Here is an 18,213-nt window from a genome sequence, read left to right on the forward strand (position 1 = left end):
AGGCTGAGGCAAGATAATCGCTTGAGCCCGGGAGGTGGAGGTTGCAGTGAGCCGAGATCACAGCACTGCACTCCAGCCTAGGCGACAGAGTGAGAGAGAACCCGTCTTAAAAAAATAAAATAAAAAGAGTTGTTCAGGGCATGGGGGCCGGGGGAGCACACAGCAAGCACATTCACTGAGCATATTTAGGAGACGATGTAGATTTATCCATGTATCTCCACCCACGGTCAGTCCCTTTCCTCCCAGCTGTTGGTGAAATGGATCTCAGAGGCTGGGACTCTGGGATCTTGTTAGCATAAAGATGCCATCCCCCTGGCCAGCCCCTAAATTGCTGAGCTTAGAGACCAGACTGCAAGGTGCCAGGCACACCCAAAATAATGTACCTTCTTTTCACCTCAGGAAACTGGTTAGTGTGGTACATGTTTGGATTTTAGTATAGTGGCTAAGCCAAAGCTCTGTTAGTAAATTCCTACAGGAGCTCATTGGCAACTTGGTGCATGACAGAAAGAGCAAGACTTTGAGCCAAACAGACCTGGGCTCAAATTCCAGCTCAACTACATAGCAGCCTTGTGAACTTCACCTCTGCCTCAGCATCCTCATCTATAAAATTGGTGATAGTGGCAGAGATTTCACAGGCTTGTTGGGAGGATTAAAGGAAATATTACCTACTATGGAGCTTCTCGAAGGGAAGCAATTTTGACTTTGTTTTTACTTCTTTGTTCAAACTCTCACTTCAGTCCCAAAATGATTGAGTTGGCAGCTTAGATATTATTACAGTTGTTTGCCCTACTTCATGTCTTTTTTAAACATTGGAGCATCTGAAACTTCACTTTGGAAAAAGGGAAGCAGAGTAGGTATTTTTGGCACAATGACCTCTATCCTATGTGGGGTTTGTTTAAACAAAAAAAAGTAATAAAATATCTCCTATATCAGAGAGGTGTGTCCACAGCATATAAGAAGTTGTCTGGCTGGGCATGGTGGCTCACGCTTATAGTCCCAGCTTTTTGGGACGCTAAGGCAGGAGAGTCACTGGAACCCAGGAGGCAGAGGTTGCAGTGAGCTGAGATCGTGCCACTGCACTCCAGCCTGGGCAATAGAGCAAAACTCCGTTTCAAAAAAAAAAAAAAAAAAATTGTCTGCCATTTATAGACCAAAATCGTCCTGTCCTGCTAAAGTATAATCGATCTTGGTGACAGCTTTCTTCTCAGTGGGCTAAGCAAATTCACAGCTTTCTGCATTTCCCCTTGCATTTTTTTATTTTTGAGACGGAGTCTCACTCTGTCACCCAGAATAGAGTGCAGTGGTGTGATCTAGGCTCACCGCAAGCTCTGTGTTCTGGGTTCATGCCATTCTTGTGCCTCAGTCTCCCTAGTAGCTGGGATTACAGGGATCTGCCACCACACCTGGCTAATTTTGTATTTTTGTTTTTTAGTAGAGAGGGGGTTTCACCATGTTAGCCAGGATGGTCTCGGTCTTCCAAAGTGCTGACATTACAGGCGTGAGCCACCGCGCCCGGCCTCCCCTTGCACTTTTAAAATGATGTCTGGGAGTAATAACTGAGAATGGTTACTTGGTTTGGTTATCACGTATCTCCTATGTTGATGCTGTGTAACATACATCTATGATACTTTGTTGGTATGTGATAACATATTGCTTATGCGTGAGGTGATGGGCTAGGAGGCTTAACTGGTCTTAGCTGAGCTGGCTTCTGTGTCTGGGAATCAGTAGGTGGATGCAGGAGGGCCTTGACTAGGAAGAATGGAAAAACTGGGCTGTGAAACAGAAAGATCCACAGATCTTTCATCCTCCTCCCAGGACCAGTGGGCGAGCCTGGGCATGTACATCAGGGAGCACAGACAGGAGAAGCACACCCATATGGGTATCATCCAAGCTGTGAGCATGTCACATCGCCAAGGGGGATTACAAGGCAGAAACCAGAGTCAGTGGGAGGGCACTGCAAAGTCACGTGGCAAAGAGGGGCACAGAGAACGGTAGATGGGGCCATTTGTACACTTGCACAGATTAATGACCTGTTCTAAGTGGGAGAAAGGGTGGCTGTGGGCATGTAGCAGTGCTGTGAAATGCTAAGGCAAGTGATATAAATAGGGAGAAGATAGAACAGACCAGTAATTCGAGCCAAAACCATCCATGAATCCAGAATGGGGCCCAGAAAGACATCACTGTGTATTCTGGGATAGGGCCAAGTTTAATAGATTGCCCAGAGTCCTACTTGCCTTTACTTTCACAAAAAATTTTTAATTTACACAGTGCAATTGACTTTTGCTCTTGTTCATGTCTGTGAATTTAAACACATGCATAGATTTGAGTAACCACCATCACCGTCAAGATATAGACCAGTTCCTTCACCCTAAAAAGCTGTTTTCCCCTCATTTCCTTTCTAGCTGCACCCTCCCCCACCTCTAAGCCCTTGTCCCTCCCCCTCTAGTTTTGTCTTTTCAAGAATGTCACATAAATGGAATCATACTGTAAGCAACCTCTTGAGGCTGGCGTCTTTCAGCATGTGTGAGAACCGTCAAGTCGTTGGGTGAGTCAGCAGTGTTTTTATTACTGAGCAGAGTTTGGTTAAATGGATATACCACGGTTTATCTAGTCATAAAGGAATAAAGTTGCGTTGGTTCCAGTTGTTGGCAATTTTGAATAGAGCTAGTGGAAACATTCAAGTGCAGCTTTTTGTGTGAACAAAAGTTTTCATTTCTGTGCGGCAAATACCTAAGAGTTGAGGACTGGATCCTATGCTAAATGTAAGAAACTGCATTCCCACAGCGTATGAGGGGCCCAGTTGCTCTGCACCCTGGGCAGCATGTCATACTGTCATGATTCTTTACTGTGGCTGTTCACAAGGATGCAGAATATTTCATCATGGTCTTAATTTGCATTTTCCTAATGAGTAATGATGTTGAGCATATTTTCATGTGGATGTTTTCCTTTAACACATCCTCTTTGGGGAAGTAAGTAAGTGTCCAAGTATTTTGCCTGTTCTTAGAAACTAGGCTGTTTGTGGTTTTACAAAGATTTGAGTTTTGGGAGTTCTTTGTATATGTTAGATGCAAGACCTTTGTCGAACATGTGAGTTGCACATATTTTCTTCTAGTCTTCAGCTTCTTTTCAGTGTCTTTTGCATGACACCTTTTTAATTTTGATGAAATTTACTTTTTGTGTCCCAGATCATGCTTTTGGTGTCATGTCTACCAATTGTTAGCCTAAACCCAGGTCATAAAGATTTTCTCCTAGGTTTTCCTCAAAGTTTTATAGCTTTACATTTTAGATCTGCGATTCATTTTGAGTGGACTTTTGTGTCAGGTCCAAGGATTGGGTCAAGGTTAACCTACTTCCTGTGGCTGACCCGCTCCCCCCACCCCCAGCGTAAGGTCAAGTGGAGGGAGGACAGGACTAGAGGCATTACGGGGTGGCCCCACCCTCTTGGGACCACAGCTCTTATGATTAAAGAGGAACGTTATCCCCTGTATTAATTTCTTATTGTTGCCCTACCAAATTGGCACAAAGTTAGTGGCTAAAAACTACAGATTTATTCTCCAGCTGCTGTGGAGGCCAGAAGTCCGAGATCCGTCTTACTAGGCTACAGTCAAGGTGTCGGCAGGGCTGGCGCCTTCTCGAGGTTGTGGGGCAGAATTTGTTTCGCGGCTTCCTGGCAGCCACCCTATGCCATGGCCCCTTCTTTGCTTCCCAGCAATTACTCTGGGACCCTGAGATTCCATGGGGTGGACCTAAAGAGTCCAGGATCATCTCCCCATCTCAAAAGCCTGAATGTAACCACAGCTGCTGGTCCCTCTTGTTGTAGAAGCTCACATATGAAGACGCTCCAGGGATGAAGAGCTGGGCATCCTTGGGGCACCATTGATCTTACCGCCACCTCCCCTAGAGTGTCAGGTGCTTGAGGACTGCTCAAGGCTGAGGCATGAGAGAAGGGGCAAAAAGAAACAAGATCGCCTCCACCCTTTCTGAGCAGGAGTGCCCTTTTCCACTTCTGGACCCAGAGCTGGAGGGCTTCTCTGACAGCCCTGTCTGTTCACCCCCTGCCCACTTTTGGGGTCAGGCTGCCTGTAGTTCAGGCTGGAGGATGCTACAGGGGAAAAATGGTGAGCTCACTGCGGGTTTCCTGGGACAGCAACAACTGGTCATCTCTGTAGTCTGGCTGCTATTTAGTTTCCTGAGTTATTGACTAGCTGCCTCATGCATCCACTCCAGGTTTGAAAGCTGACTTGGAGGGGAGACACAGGGGGAGGTGACCTTACTACATCATACCCAGACCTGGAACCTCTTCCTCAGTATTGTCTATCCTGAAGTATTATGGAATATTGGTGCATGGAGAGAAGGACTATGGAACCATGTATCATATCTTATCAGGGAGAGAATGACAGGAGCAGGGGAATACCACTAACAGTGGGGATGGTCAGCCCTGATGGAGGACTTCTGAGTGCCAGAATTACCTTCTTCATTCTTCACAGAATTCCCTATGAGGGCAGTTACCATGTGCAGGCTCATTGTACAGATAAAGAAACTGAGGCTCATGGAAGGTCATCAATGTCTCAAAGGACCCACGCTTAGTGCTTGATGGAGCCAGGATCTCAGACCCAGACCTCTGTGATCTGAGTCCCAAGTCATAACCATTTCAGCATGTAGTTGTTCATCAGCCTCCCTTTTCAAGCTGCCAAATTGCTCTCCATGCCAGACCTCAACCCTGAGGTCACACTCTGGGCCACATCTCTGTCGGGGTCCATCGCATCTTCGTTCAGCCAGCTCCTAATGCAGCCGTGCTGACACCCGTTTACCACTACCCTGGGGCGGGAGTGGGTTCCTGATTCCTGTCACCTCCTGTCTTTTCCGTACTGTGCCAGCCAGTGCCTGATACTGACCTGCGTTTCCAACCCCCTGGAATGGAAAGGTTCAGAGGGCAGGAACCAAGCTCGCCTCTTCCCCTCTTCTCCCAGCTTTGTAGCACATGCCTGGAAACCAGTCAATGCTTGATGAATGTTTATGATGATGCAACAGATGTTTTCCACTGATTGCCCACGGTACATCCTGGGCCCACACAAGAGGACGCTGGATCCACTTCAGAGACTTGGCTTGTCTTATGAGTCCAGAAGGGCTCACGTTTGCAGCACCGCTCTGTTTTTTCTTTTTTTAATTAGTTTGGCAAAGATATTCCTAGTCACCAGTTAGTCCAAATCCTGCAATATTGTCTCTTCCCAACGGATCCCTAAATTGAGCCAGCATTTCCAATTCAGCCCACGCTACCTGGGCTCCTGCTGGGTGTCAGGCCCTGTGCTAAGCCTTTTCCACACAGGGTGTCAAGGAATCTGCAACTCAGAGGGATAGGACCTAGTGTTATTCCCTTTATAGATGAGGAAATTGAGGCATGGAGAAATGGAGGAACTTGCCCAAGATCACAGCTAGTAAGTTTTAGAGCTGCTGTTAGAGCAAGAGATTGTCTCAAAAGAAAAAGTTAGACCCAAGTTCTATCACCCAGGGTGGAGTACAGTGGCACAGTCTCCCCTCACTACAGCCTTCGCCTCCCAAGTTCAATTTTGTTTCCTCAGCTTCCCAAGTAGCTGGGATTACAGGGACCCACTACCACACCTGGCTCATTTTTGTATTTTTAGGAGAGGCAGGGTTTCACCACGTTGGCCAGGCTGATCTTGAACTCCTGACCTCAAGTGATCCACCCGCCTCAGCCTCCCAAAGTGCTGGGATTACAGGCGTGAGCCACGGCACCCAGTGTGGGTCTAACACTTAAACTTGTGTTTGAAGGCAGCGTGTTGGGAACATGGACTTTGGGGCCAGGCTGGTGTTGGTCCCAGTCTTTTACTCTTAAATCTTGTGCATATAAGCACTAGACTATCACTGCCTTTTTTTTTTTTTTAAACAAAGTATTAGTTAAATCAGCAAGTAAGTGAAGTTAAAGCATCCTGTAAGGTGTGTGGACCCATGAGCAGTACTCAGAAATGCTAAATGTCTGAGTCTCTAGAGGTCCCAGAAACATGATTTGAGTAGGGAATCTTTGCTTAGCAAAACTATAGAGCCCTACTTCAAATTAGCTTGAAGCAGAAAAGAAGTACTTACTACTCCTGTAACTATGAAGTCCAGGGACTTGGCTAGCTTCAGGAATGGCTGGATCCAGAGGCTCAAAAAGTGTCACCAGGACCCTGTTGGTTTCACCCTCAAGCATGTTCTGTCTGGTGGAAAGATGGATCCTGGCAGCTGCGTATCTTATAGATGGTTTAGATCCAGGCCCTGAAGCATAAGTGTTCTCATCAGCTCCTGTAGAAGTCCTAGGAAAAATCATATTCATCACGTTGCTCCTGATAGCTGTAGCGGAAATTCTAGAGATTCTGAATGATGCAGCTCTGGGTCATCAGCGCATGCATCTGGGTCCGTGCCTGTGGCCCGGGGAATGGAGCACCTTGATTAGCCAAATCTGGGGCAGAGGAGCAGGGTGTTCAGCCCACCTAAGCTCATGGACTGAACATGATTATCCAGAAGGAGGGGGCCCGATTCACTGAAAGGAGAGAAAGTGGGTGGGCAAACATATGTTCATGCTGCGGGGTCTGGTGAACAGCTGTCAGTAAAGCCACAGCCACCTGTGCTGGCGAGTCATTGTGTAAGAAGCTTGTGACACCTTTGGCCCAGACTTCCACGCCCACTGAGCCACGAGATCACGCTTCCGTGGTGCGTCCCAGTTCATCCTCCCCGATGGAGTGGGCAGTGCCCCAGTGCTCCGCAGCTGGTGCCGTCTGTCTCCAGACGCTCTTCCAGCCTGCATTCAACAAGCCAGTCGTATCAGAAAATATTAACCACGGGAATTAATGAATTTTGGCATTGCAGTGGAGTTGACTGGGGGAGATTTTCCAAGTTTATTTTCCAAGATGTATCTGGTGCTCTAGAGATTTCTCCCAGCCCATGAGACAGGGACACCTTCGTATTTGGAAGAGAGAAGCCAGTGGTGGAACATCCTCTTACCACACTACAAGAGCTTGCGTATTCCTTCATCCTGGATTGCCGAAGGTGGAATCCGGCACCCTCTCGTTCTAAGCGAGGAGCCTATCTGCTGGGAGAAATGGTCTCAGCCAAGGTCACACCATGGGTTAAATGCAAAAGCCCTGGACTCTAGACCCCGTTGACTCATCACATTGCAAAGCCACAGGAATCACATTGGTAGGGGTAGAGGTCTTTCTGCAGACTTGGTTGTGGAAGGCTGTTAAGGAAAACAAGTCCATAACCCTATATTCACCGGCATCATTCCTAAGAACACGGGATGGGAATCGGTGGTGTGCACATCAGCCAAGGCTTCAGAACCGTGACAGCCGGTTCCTCACCACACCAAGATTGAAACTAACTTACCCAGATTGCAACTCAGGACTTTACACTCTCAGTACGGCATCCAGGCCACAGGGGAAGGTGGACCCCAAAGTCATGAGGCAGGAAAAGTCAGTACTGTTGGAAAGGAGAAGTGATGCTGGGGAGTGGAAGGCGTTGTGAGGTGGTTCTGCTAAAACATTATGTCAGCTGGTGGGATTTGGACGTTTCTCTTTCTCTACCCTATCTCATTCTGAAGAGGCCGATTTTATGATTGGGGTCGGCTGGGGTCTAGATGGCATTTTTCTGTGGGGAATTGTGTGGCCTAGGAACATTCTCTGGAATGTTACAGTGATGGATTCATTGTTCTGCAGGCATTTCTTAATGAGTTGTCACTCCTGACTCTGCGTCATGCCTTGGGATCGGCAGGTTCATGTCAGACTGTTTACTTCTCATGAAGCCTTTGAGAGCGCTGTCACTCGAATTCTCTTCCTCCACCATCCCTTTAATAGGAGGGGAAACCTCGGCCCAGAGAGGTGAAGGGACGTGCTCTGGGTCGCACAGCTGGTAAACTGCAGAGCCAGGATTCTAGAGACCAAACTCTTGACCACTGCTTCAGCAAGAACTCCTTGGGGAAATGCCCACATGCAGCCAGTGTCAACACAGCCCCTGGCCTGTGGTCAGTGGGCCAGTAATCAATAGTCATTAGATGTTATCATCATCCCTTGTTCACTGTATTTCCAGATGAGGAAACAGGCTCAGAGAGATTGAGTAACTTGTCCTAGGTGGCACAGCTAGGAAGCAGCAGATGTCGGCTTCAGTAGCCAGGTCTGTGATGCCCTGCTCCTGTAGCATAGCCACGAAATGCACTGTGCCAGCCATCAGACCCAGGCTGCAGTAGCCAGCTCTGTGAGGCCCCACTTACCTAGCACAGCTATGAAGTACAGACACTCTGCCAGCCGTCAGAGAAACAAATATGGTCAATACAAAAAAGGAAGGGGTGGGGCAGGCAATGACAGGGAAAGGGCCTCTGTTCTCAAGTGGCTCCAAAGAGTACTGTTGAGAAATTGGTTTGCCACTTCGCCCTCTTTACATCTGGAAGACTCGCATCCACCAGAGAAAGGGTGTCACATAGTTCCAAGTACATACAGAGTGACAACCCATTGTCACACAATAGGTGTATTGTCCGCTTCCTAACCGGGTCCTGCCTGGCCCCACCCCTAGGATTGTTCCTTCCAGGGCTTGTGGACGGATAGGATGCCAGTGACTCTCCTCCTGCAACTGTGGCAAGACCGTGTGTCCTGTCAGAGTGGGTGACCAGGGCCTTTGCCAGCAGACGACTTATGGAGAAACGTTTGAGTAGATGGAGGAACCCATTTCCTCTGGAATCCAGAGGTACAGAAAGCAAGGGTCTGGCTCTTTTCTTCTGTTCTGAGTCTACACTATGGCCCTTCCCAGCTTCTAGGCTCCAGGTTAAGGGGAGTGGCTGGTGCAAGGTGGGTGGCCAGAGACGAGGTCACCATGAAGCCTTCAGATTTTAACCTGAGATGGAGAGGCAGCTTTTAAACAGTACCTTTCACCACTAGGCATACAGGGGCCTCCCTACTGACTCTCCAGACCTGTGGGGGAGGGGAGCAGATCACCTCTCCTTGAGAGGGTGAGCCTAAGCCGTGGGCATTGGGGTGGGGTACCTGGAGCATTCTAGGTGTTCGGGGCTATTAATATTTATGTATTATCCTGACAACTAAGGGCAGGATGTGTGCTTCAGTGGGCACTGTAGTTTGAACACCTGGATGCCAAAAACAGAAAACAAAAAAACCCACACCCTTGAGTACACATGATGGGAGTGAAGCAGTCCTGGGTTTGAGTCCCCAGTCTCTCACTTCACTGTGTGACTTTGGACAATGTATTCTCCCCATCCACAAAACAGAGCTAATAACCTCCACCTGGTAACATAGGGATGGGCACTGGTGCAGGGAATGTAAAGTAACGAGGGACGTAGGAGGTACTCATTGCTGTAGAGGTAAACTTGACCTCTTTTCGACCCTTCGTACAACTGTATTAGTCCGTTTTCACAGTGCTGATAAAGACATACCTGAGACTGTGCAATTTACAGAAAGAAGGTTTAATGGACTCACAGTTCCATGTGGCTGGGGAGGCCTCACAATCACCGTGGAAGGCAAGGAGCAAGTCACTTCTTAAGCTCTTTGCATGGCACCATCGATGTGAGCTAGGAAACTCTTCCTTATGAAACCATCACATTCACTGTCAGAAGAACAGCACAGGAAAGACTCGCCCCTGTGATTCAATTATCTCCCAATGGGTCCCTCCCATGATACATGGGAATTCAAGATGACACATGGTTTGGCTGTGTCCCCACCCAAGGATAATACAGGTGGAACATAAATGCCAGATTGATCTATTGATAATTATAAACAATTACCAAGAAGAGTGGATAAATCTTCCTTTTTGAATCCATCTAGACCCACTGTGATTAAAGCTATTATTTTGACTAGAAAACTAAGAAGATAGGAGAAAATTAGACATTTAAACAGCTACCTTCCATGCAACAAAGGAAATTTTAAATACAGACAATTAGGATTGCTTTCAAAATATATGAAAATAAAGGGATTAAGATTATACAGTCACCAGTAAGATCAGGCTGGTTTGGTTTTTCCAGGGCTAGGAGTGCAGCTGGAAGCCCTAGGAGGATGAGAGCAGGGATGAAGAGAAAATAAATTCCCCACCCCTCCATCCACCCATTCCTCCAATTAGTACTTACAGTGCACCATTTCAGATCCTGATAGTTCAACAGCAGATAAAGCATCTGTTTTCATGGGGGACACAGACATTGAATAGTGAGGCAGACATGCCTATGTGAGGTGGCGATTTCCAGTGAAAAGACAGGAAATGACATCACAGTCATCACAGAGGGAAAGAAGCCTGCTGGGGATGTGCTGTTTATGGTCTAGGAAGATGACAGGGATAGTTTGACCCGAAGTGGAGACCTGAGGCAGGGAGCCAGGCAGTGGACACAGCAGGTGCAAAGGTCCTGCAGCCTTGAAGAGTTGGCCCCTGGGAGAAACAGCAAGGAAGCCAGGGTAGCCCAGGAACAGAGAGGCCTTGCAGCCAAGGGAACTCTAGCTGCCATGTGGAGTCAGCAAAGGGTAGAGCTTTGTTATGGGTGATAGAACAGGTAGTTAGGGGACCATGTGGGCACCCCGGGGAGAGGGGATGGTGCCTCAGGCAGCCTGGGAAGGGGTATTCTCAAAGTAGAACTACCAGAACTTGCTGGTTTCAATGTGGGTGTGAGAGAAAGAGGAACTGGAAGAACAGAGTCCTGAGCTGTGGTTAACATCCCCCTCCCTCACGAGGATTAAATACACCCCCACGAAGTCAGCCTCAGCACCACTAAGCTGTCCCATGGGATGGAGATATGATTCCCACCCCAAGCACCATCTCCTGTAATAAAACCTGGCCCCCGCGTTCCTGTCTGGGATCTGCATAGCATGGCACCCATCACTGCCCCTCTAAGCCTCCTCCTGTGAAGCTGCAGCTGCTCACACTTGCCTGGCTACCGAACAGAATGGGCTCAAGAATGCTCTGCAGGGACAGCCTTACTGAGCCCCAGATTCCAAACTGGAGTTTAGCAAAATGAGCCACTTCCTTCAGCAGCAGTTCTAGGGCTGTATAGGAGCTGCTCTTAGGGGTTCAGGGATACCTCAATTCCCAGTCTGCCCTCAAGGTGCTCAGTCTTTTGGGAGACAGCATGGCACAGGGGTCTCGAGTGAACGTGGCATCCTGGACTTTTGCACTGCTCATATTGGTAAGGCAAGCACCACCCCTGGCACACACACGGTCAGGCATGACATAAAAAGATGTTGCTAAGGGACATTGAGGTCTATTTCTTGGGACAAGTAGGAATTTTCTATCCCTGTTCATTCTTCATCTTGGCCACACACATTTGCTCTCTTGCTCATCCCACAGCGCCTCCCACAAGGCCACGCTGGATCCTGCCACAGTGTTAGGTTACATTTCCTTCCTTCTGGCTCACCAGATGTGGACCTGACTGGGAAGGCTGGAAGCTACTGTCCCTGGAGCCCTACTCTCCTGGCTTGGTGCCTCCATGGGGAATGACAGTGGGCACTCTGCACCCACATGGAAGGGAGTCCCACACCTTCTAAGGTCTCCTTTGTAACCTACCTCTGGCTCCCCACTGTGCCACATCCCTGTACCATGGCATCTGTGTCTTTTGGACAGCACCGGGCTTTCAGGATGACTAGTCAGGGTTGTCTTGTCTGGACCAGATGCTTTGAGGGTGCAGCCTTCTGGGAATTCCCTCTAGGGATTTTCTATGATGCTGGCTTCCCTGTAAGTCCCACTCCAGGCCCGGGTACTCTGTCCAAGCCCCACAGCAGAAGAGGCTCTTCAGGGGCCTCATTTGGTGTCAACTCAGCAAGAAGTGAAGTTTAAAGCCCAGAGCACTGCAGGGCATTGTACTGGTGTAGGAGGGGTACATCCAGGGCTCCAAGGTGTTTTCTGTGCTGAGCTCATCTCTCATCCCCCAGCCACCACAGTGCTGGGTCATAGCTGGGCTGTTGTTTTCCTATGGCAGGCCCAGCCCTGTCTAGCTCTCAGTTCCTCTGCTCTGCAGCCAGGGCCCTTGGCCTGAACCCTACACATAGCAGCACTCACTCGGGCTGTAGGTATTCTTCAGTACCTGCTATGGCCTGGCATTTAGGGAACTCTCAAGCAACAGCACAAGTGAGGCCCCTGCTCTCCCGTGCTTTGGGTCCGTTGTAACAGCATAAAAAGCTTGTGGAGTATCTTAGGTGAGTCCACTCTTGCAGCTGGGCAGGCATCATAGTGTTCGGCTCCCTGTTACAGTGTCATTTCTTGGGGACATAGCAGATGGAAAATTCTGGGGTAGTTTTGATTTAGCAGTTATCACATTTGCTGTTCATGGAGTGTCTGCAGGGGCTAGGCACCCCTCACGATGCTTGTGTCTGCCAGCCATGGTGGCTCATCCCTGTAATCCCAGCACTTTGGGAGGCTGAGGTGGTAGATCACTCAGGGTCAGAAGTTGGAAACCAGCCTGGTCAATATGACAAAACCCCATGTCTACCAAAAATACAAAAATTAGCCATGGGTGGTGGTGTGCACCTGTAGTCCCAGCTACTCAGAAGGCTGAGGCAGGAGAATCTCTTGAACCTGGGAGGTGGAGGTTGCAGTGACCTAAGATTGCACCATTGAACTCCAGCGTGGGCAACAGGAAGATCCTCACACATACAAAGATGTTCATGCCATTTTTCATCCTCTATCTCAAATAGCCAGTAAGGCATGGAGTGGGCTTCCACCCTGGGACCCCAGCCCTAAGACCTGCACCTTTTTCTACTCCAGAGTCCTTGCCCTCCACACGCTCTGTAAAGAGCATAGCTGCCGAAACCAGCTTGAGGCAGTCCCAAGGCCCGGCATCTTGATGTCGCAGATGCTGCTTGGGGCCAGGAGAGTCACCCTACAAAGTGTGTTCCAGCATTTACTTTGAGACCTGTTGGTGATTAGCAGGTGATTTCTACTTGCAGACAAGGCCCATCATGGCTTCTGTGCCCTGTGTGGCCAGGCCTTGCCTCCTTGGCCGCATGACTGTGGTGAAACAGCCAAAGATGGTTCAGACTAGAACAGAGATCAGAAAATGATGGCCCACAGGCCAAATCTTACCCTCCACCTGTTTTTTATAAGTAAAGTTTTATTGGAACATGCCCAGTCATTCACACTTCATGTATAGCTTCTTATTATAAGGGCAAAGTTGAGTTGTAACTGAGATGGAATGCCTCCCTGGAGCCTAGTATGTTTAGTCTCACCCTTTATAGGAAGTTTGCCAACCTATGGGCTAGAATACTGAGGCTGATGTACACTCACATGTAAAGGGAATACCTTCCATACCGCATGTAGTGATATGGAAAAAATCTCCATGACATTATTACTAAGAGGATAAAGCATGGAAGAGTACCACACAATACCTTTCTAATTTTAGAAATAGCAAATATGGGCCAGACACAGAGGCTTATACCTGTAATCCCAGTACTGTGGGAGGCCAAGGTGGTTGGGTCACCTGAGGTCGAGTGTGAGACCAGCCTAGCCAACAAGAGGAAAACCCATCTCTACTAAAAATCCAAAAATTAGCCAGGCATGGTGGTGCACGCCTGTACTCCCACCTACTTGGGAGGCTGAGGCAGGAGAATCACTTAAACCCGGGAGGTGGAGGTTGGAGTGAGCTGACATTGTGTCATTACATTCCAGTCTGGGAGACACAGTCTCAATCTACAAAAAAAAAAAAAAAACCAAACACCAAATATGAGGATATATACTTCCACCGGTGCATACATACGTGCTTCTATGTGTAATGTATACCTGTAGAAAGACACATTAAAAAGTAACCGTCACTTAGTGGAGGACCAAGGTGGGAAGACTCACTTTTTCATGTATTCACCCCCCTCATGCTCTTATTCTACACTCCTGTGTTGCCTATTTAAAAAAGGTGATAAAATAGTTGAAAAAGTGTAGAGGCTGAATAGCTGAGATAAGGAAGAGGGAGCCAAGAATATGTGTTAATTTACCTTTTTACAGATGATTTTTGAGCAGTATTTTCATGATAGACTTTCTGGGAGGAAACCTGTGACGGGAGGGGAAGCTCAGAATTGCTGGTTTTATTTAAGTGGAAATAAATTTTTAGTTGAATCATAAAGGTAGAATGGGCTTAGGGCACAACAAAAAGCTGTTTCTCAATCTAAATATTTCTTCTCTGGCCGAGTGATGGGCTTCTAAACAAGGTGTCATCCAGATGAAGGAAGTGGGGTGTTTTCATCTCCATGTGATCCTCTCTTTGCTTGGATGAAATCTGGTGTGAAATAATGGAACAGTGGTCCACAGCTGCCAGGAGAATCTCAGAAAACCCTCAGTACCATCGTGCAGACTTCCCCACAGAGAGCCTTTAGGAACACACTGCACTCAGATTTGCCATCTTCTGAGGACAGTCTAAAAATCACTGCTCCGGAGGTTCAGACACCGTCAAATGTTTAACCAGTTTGTCAGCCCACCAAAAAGCCACTTGTAACCTCAGAGATATGTGGAATCATTCTTTTGGGGGCTAGTCTTTCCATTTGCAGAACTTCCCCAACAGTAGGATTGCTTTCAAGTTGGGGTCTCAGCCACAGCTTGCACATTCGATCACCCAGCATGCTTTTAAAAATACAGAGGCCAGGCCCTGCCTGGTTAATGCAACATTAATCTTTGGGCCTCAGCATCAGGATCTTTTTAAAGTTCCCCAGGTAATTCTAAGGTGCATGCAAAGTTGAGAAGCCCTGCTTTCAAAAGGCTGGAACAAATTCTGGTGTTACAATTAGATCTGAGTCTGAGGCATCAACCCAGCAAGTATTTTCTGAGCTTTGGTTTCCGTTCCTGTGCAGTAGGATAAAAGTACCACCCTCCTTTCAGGTGGTGAGCCAACTTGTGAATGGGGACAGCTGACAAGAAATACTTCCTGGCTGCCTTGTACACATACCAGGGGCCCGCTTCAGAAGCACATGGGCATCAAACTTCTGTATCCCCGCCTCAGTTTTGTCACTTAGCTGCTGCTGGGGACACAGGAGCAGGCAGGTGATATTTCTAGCCTGTCTGCTCATCTGTAAGGTAGGGATCTCTATACCCTACCACACAGAGCCACTGTGAGGATCCAGTGAGATTCCCCAGCCAGGCTGTGCCCAACACAGTGCCATGTCAAAGTAGCTCCTGCTGGTCCCTGTCTCTAAAAAACGTGGCAAGTCCAGGCTCAGATGGGAAGGATTTTTGGGGCACTGAATCTCTGTCTCAATCACTCAACTGTGCTATCCTCAGTGAGTGTAACCATGGCTGATACGGAAATGCCTGAGAGGCCACATTCCAGTACAGCTTAATCTACTAATCCTGCAGAAAGGGAAACAACGGCAGATAAGGCAGGGGAGGGCCGTGGAGTCAGACATCCAGCACCATGCCCCAGCTTTGCCTCCTAGGGGCTCGTAAGCCCTGGCCAGTTAACTTCTGTGCCTCAGTTTCCTCTTCTAGAAGAGGTGATAATGGAACTCCTCTCCTGGCTTCTGTGAGGGTTTAATAAGCCAATACACGTGTAAGACAGCAAGCATGGTACCTGGCGCAGAGCAGTGGTGAGGACGTGGTCAGTTCTTTTGGCTCGAGAGCTGGAGTGAAATACCTCGGGTCCATCTCATCACCCAACGATTGGGCCTCAGGAATCTTGCTCAAAAATAGCCTGCCAAATGGGCCTTCATTTCTCAGTGATGTCCCCAGCACTGGCACACAGGCCAGCCAAGTTGCTGCCCTCATGGAGTTTATATTCTCATGGGGATGACTAAAAAAGCAAAAACCAAACACCAAACAAATGGAAGGATTGCAATGGGAGACCCAGGCCATGCAGGGCGTTTACAAGGGTCGGGGGAAGATTTAGATTGGGGGACTGATAGAAGAGACATGGTATCTCCAGTGAAATCACTTCTGATTTAAGGTATGAATTCATCTCAGCTCTGGGCTTTCAGTCATCCTGGAGGAGAGAACAGCCAACAGTGTGACACCTGACCTGCCAGAGAGGAGAGGGTGTGGCAGATGGCAGGGCCTGGGGAGACATGGACATGGAGGCAGGAGATAGGCAAGGGCAGCAGAGCTGATTGCTCCTGGCCTTATATGCCACGTCATCAGGAACATGGATTGTATTGAGTGCAGCAGGCACTGTCTGAGGGGCTGAAATCAGGAGAGTGGGATTAGATCAGCTTTAAGAGGCTGGGGACACTAATTGGAGATGGTAACTGCAAAGCAACACTCACCTGCATATAGTTCAGGCTTGGCCTGGGGCTTTCAGGCTGGGAGGGCCTTGGGCTTCTGGCTCACAGCTCTGGGGTCCTTCCTGGGATTTTTGGATCTTTAAGTCAGTATACAGCTGCAGTTATTTCCAGTAGCCATGCTCGCAGATGGGGACTTGAGAATACAGAGAGAGATTGTACAAGACCACTGCCGCCTAGGGGCACAGAGTAAGAGGAAAATGAGTGGGCACCTGGCCCTGGGAAACGCCCTAACAAGGCAGGCAGAGAAACCAGCTCGTCTTCTCAGAGCTTGCCAGACATGCTCTCAAGTTGAACATATAAGTAGTTCTGGTGGTTGAAAACCAGGTCTGACACACTCCAACCTGCTGAGCATGGTGTAGACCAGCTCAGACCAGCCCCAGCTGCTTAGACCAGGCAGGGCAGGTGCACACTTGCCATCACAGTGCTGGAGGAGGGACCCCACAGAGCACTGCAGGGAGCTAAGCAGGAGCTGTGGGCTCTGAGGATGCTTTGTTCCCCACCCCCCACCCCTGCAAGATGGAATTTTGTGCTTGTTGCCCAGGCTGGAGTGCAATGACGTGATCTTGGCTCACTGCAACCTCCGCCTCCTGGGTTCAAACAATTCTGCCTCAGCCTACCACGCAGCTGGGATTATATGCACATGCCACCACCCCCAGCCTAGTTTTTTTCCTTAAGTACAGACAGGGTTTCACCATGTTGGTCAGGCTAGTCTCGAACTCCTGACCTTGTGATCCACCCACCTAGGTCTACCGAAAGTGCTGGGATTTCAGATGGAGTCTCACTCTTTTGCCTAGGCTGGAGTGCAGTGGCATGATCTCCGCCTCCTGGGTTCAAGCAATTCTCCTGCCTCAGCCACCCAAGTAGCTGGGACTACAGGCATCCACCACATTTGGCTAATTTTTGTATTTTTAGTAGAGACAGCGTTTTAACCATGTTGCCCAGGCTGGTCTGTAAATCCTGACCTCAAATGATCCTCTCACCTTGGCCTCCCAAAAGCACTTGGGATTACAGGTCTAAGCCACCATGCCCAGCCTGGATGCTTTGCTCTTTACTGTGTTTAAGTAAATGAGCAATGTGTGAATAAGTTCTGGCTTAAACCATTTGAACGATGAGCATATATAGAGCAAAACGTGAACATCTCCCTCGGCTGCATCGTCTCTGCCTTTTGGTGCATCTGTGTATACATGGGTGCTTGCTTCATATGAGGTTTCAGTTTTAACTAAAATGGGACCAGATGTCTTTTGTTCTGTAGCTTTTCCCTTACCTGTGTCTTGAAGGTGTTTCTGTGCCCCGTGCATGGGTGTGCATCGTCTTCTGTAATGTCAGCGTGTCCTGCTGTTTCCGCACACCTGCCATGCCAGGTCCATGGGTCCTGCACATAGGCATGGAGTGGTTTCCAAGCTTCCTCCGCAGCAGGATGCTGCATTGAACATTCTCGCCCACGTTTTTGTGAACTTGTTCAACAATTTCTTAAAGCTGACACCAAGACTTGGAGCTCCCAAGCCAGAGGAGCTCACTCACACATACCTGCCTCAGTTTCCCCAGGTTTCACCAGTTTGTGCATTTGCTAACCACAGGGATGCCAATTCTCAGCATCCCTGCCCATGCCTGGTGACAGCTGTCTTTCAGTCTTTCAGTTTGCATTTTCCTTAAGTGTATTAGAACGTGCTCTCTCCCCCGCCATAGAATGCAATTGTTTATTCTAGAAATTTGTATTGAGCACCTGCTCTGTGCCATTCTTTCCGTAGGTGCCAGGGTGCTCAGGAAAGAGGACAAAGATATGTCAGCATGCCATACAGGACAGGCAGTGCAGGGGAGAGGGGCTGAGGAGGGCAGCAAGCACGGCCTCTGGAGAAAACAATGGAGGTGGTGAGGGGGGTCAGTCAGCCGGAGCACCTTTCTTTCTTGCAGAGGCAGGCAGGAGTGTGCCTGCCTGGTGCCACCGAGCAGCCTCAAGAGGCTGGTTGGAGTTGTGGGGAGGTGGAGGAAA

At 48.6% G+C, this 18,213-nt stretch overlaps 1 protein-coding gene and 1 long non-coding RNA gene across 15 annotated transcripts in view, besides 6 other annotated features; one reads left to right on the forward strand and one right to left on the reverse strand.

Annotated features, from left to right (window-relative positions):
- Window positions 1–18,213, forward strand: part of SNX29 (sorting nexin 29) — a 597,554-nt gene that overhangs the window by 560,138 nt on the left and 19,203 nt on the right. The window lies entirely within an intron of this gene.
- SNX29-AS3 (SNX29 antisense RNA 3) overlaps window positions 1–18,213 on the reverse strand; it is an 80,226-nt gene that overhangs the window by 5,955 nt on the left and 56,058 nt on the right. The window contains exons 2-4 of one of the 6 annotated variants that reach the window (XR_007064991.1): window positions 10,118–17,595; window positions 9,985–10,038; window positions 9,708–9,855 (exon numbers count right to left, since the gene is read on the reverse strand). This is a non-coding gene — a long non-coding RNA (SNX29 antisense RNA 3). Of the gene's footprint in view, window positions 1–6,102; window positions 17,596–18,213 lie in introns of those variants that run through there. The other 5 variants (XR_933080.4, XR_007064989.1, XR_007064990.1 and 2 more) reach the window with 5 other exon arrangements.
- Window positions 9,205–9,264: a silencer, noted in NCBI's record as "silent region_7219". NCBI's record gives its function as "represses an Ori minimal core promoter by ATAC-STARR-seq in GM12878 lymphoblastoid cells {active_cell/tissue: GM12878}" and the evidence as "EXISTENCE:reporter gene assay evidence [ECO:0000049][PMID:35858748]".
- Window positions 10,219–10,338: an enhancer, noted in NCBI's record as "active region_10472". NCBI's record gives its function as "activates an Ori minimal core promoter by ATAC-STARR-seq in GM12878 lymphoblastoid cells {active_cell/tissue: GM12878}" and the evidence as "EXISTENCE:reporter gene assay evidence [ECO:0000049][PMID:35858748]".
- Window positions 10,429–10,478: an enhancer, noted in NCBI's record as "active region_10473". NCBI's record gives its function as "activates an Ori minimal core promoter by ATAC-STARR-seq in GM12878 lymphoblastoid cells {active_cell/tissue: GM12878}" and the evidence as "EXISTENCE:reporter gene assay evidence [ECO:0000049][PMID:35858748]".
- Window positions 10,759–10,828: an enhancer, noted in NCBI's record as "active region_10474". NCBI's record gives its function as "activates an Ori minimal core promoter by ATAC-STARR-seq in GM12878 lymphoblastoid cells {active_cell/tissue: GM12878}" and the evidence as "EXISTENCE:reporter gene assay evidence [ECO:0000049][PMID:35858748]".
- Window positions 11,485–11,954: an enhancer, noted in NCBI's record as "active region_10475". NCBI's record gives its function as "activates an Ori minimal core promoter by ATAC-STARR-seq in GM12878 lymphoblastoid cells {active_cell/tissue: GM12878}" and the evidence as "EXISTENCE:reporter gene assay evidence [ECO:0000049][PMID:35858748]".
- Window positions 12,065–12,204: an enhancer, noted in NCBI's record as "active region_10476". NCBI's record gives its function as "activates an Ori minimal core promoter by ATAC-STARR-seq in GM12878 lymphoblastoid cells {active_cell/tissue: GM12878}" and the evidence as "EXISTENCE:reporter gene assay evidence [ECO:0000049][PMID:35858748]".

This window comes from Homo sapiens, chromosome 16, assembly GCF_000001405.40.
Source record: "Homo sapiens chromosome 16, GRCh38.p14 Primary Assembly".
NCBI classification, from domain to species: Eukaryota; Metazoa; Chordata; class Mammalia; order Primates; family Hominidae; genus Homo; species Homo sapiens.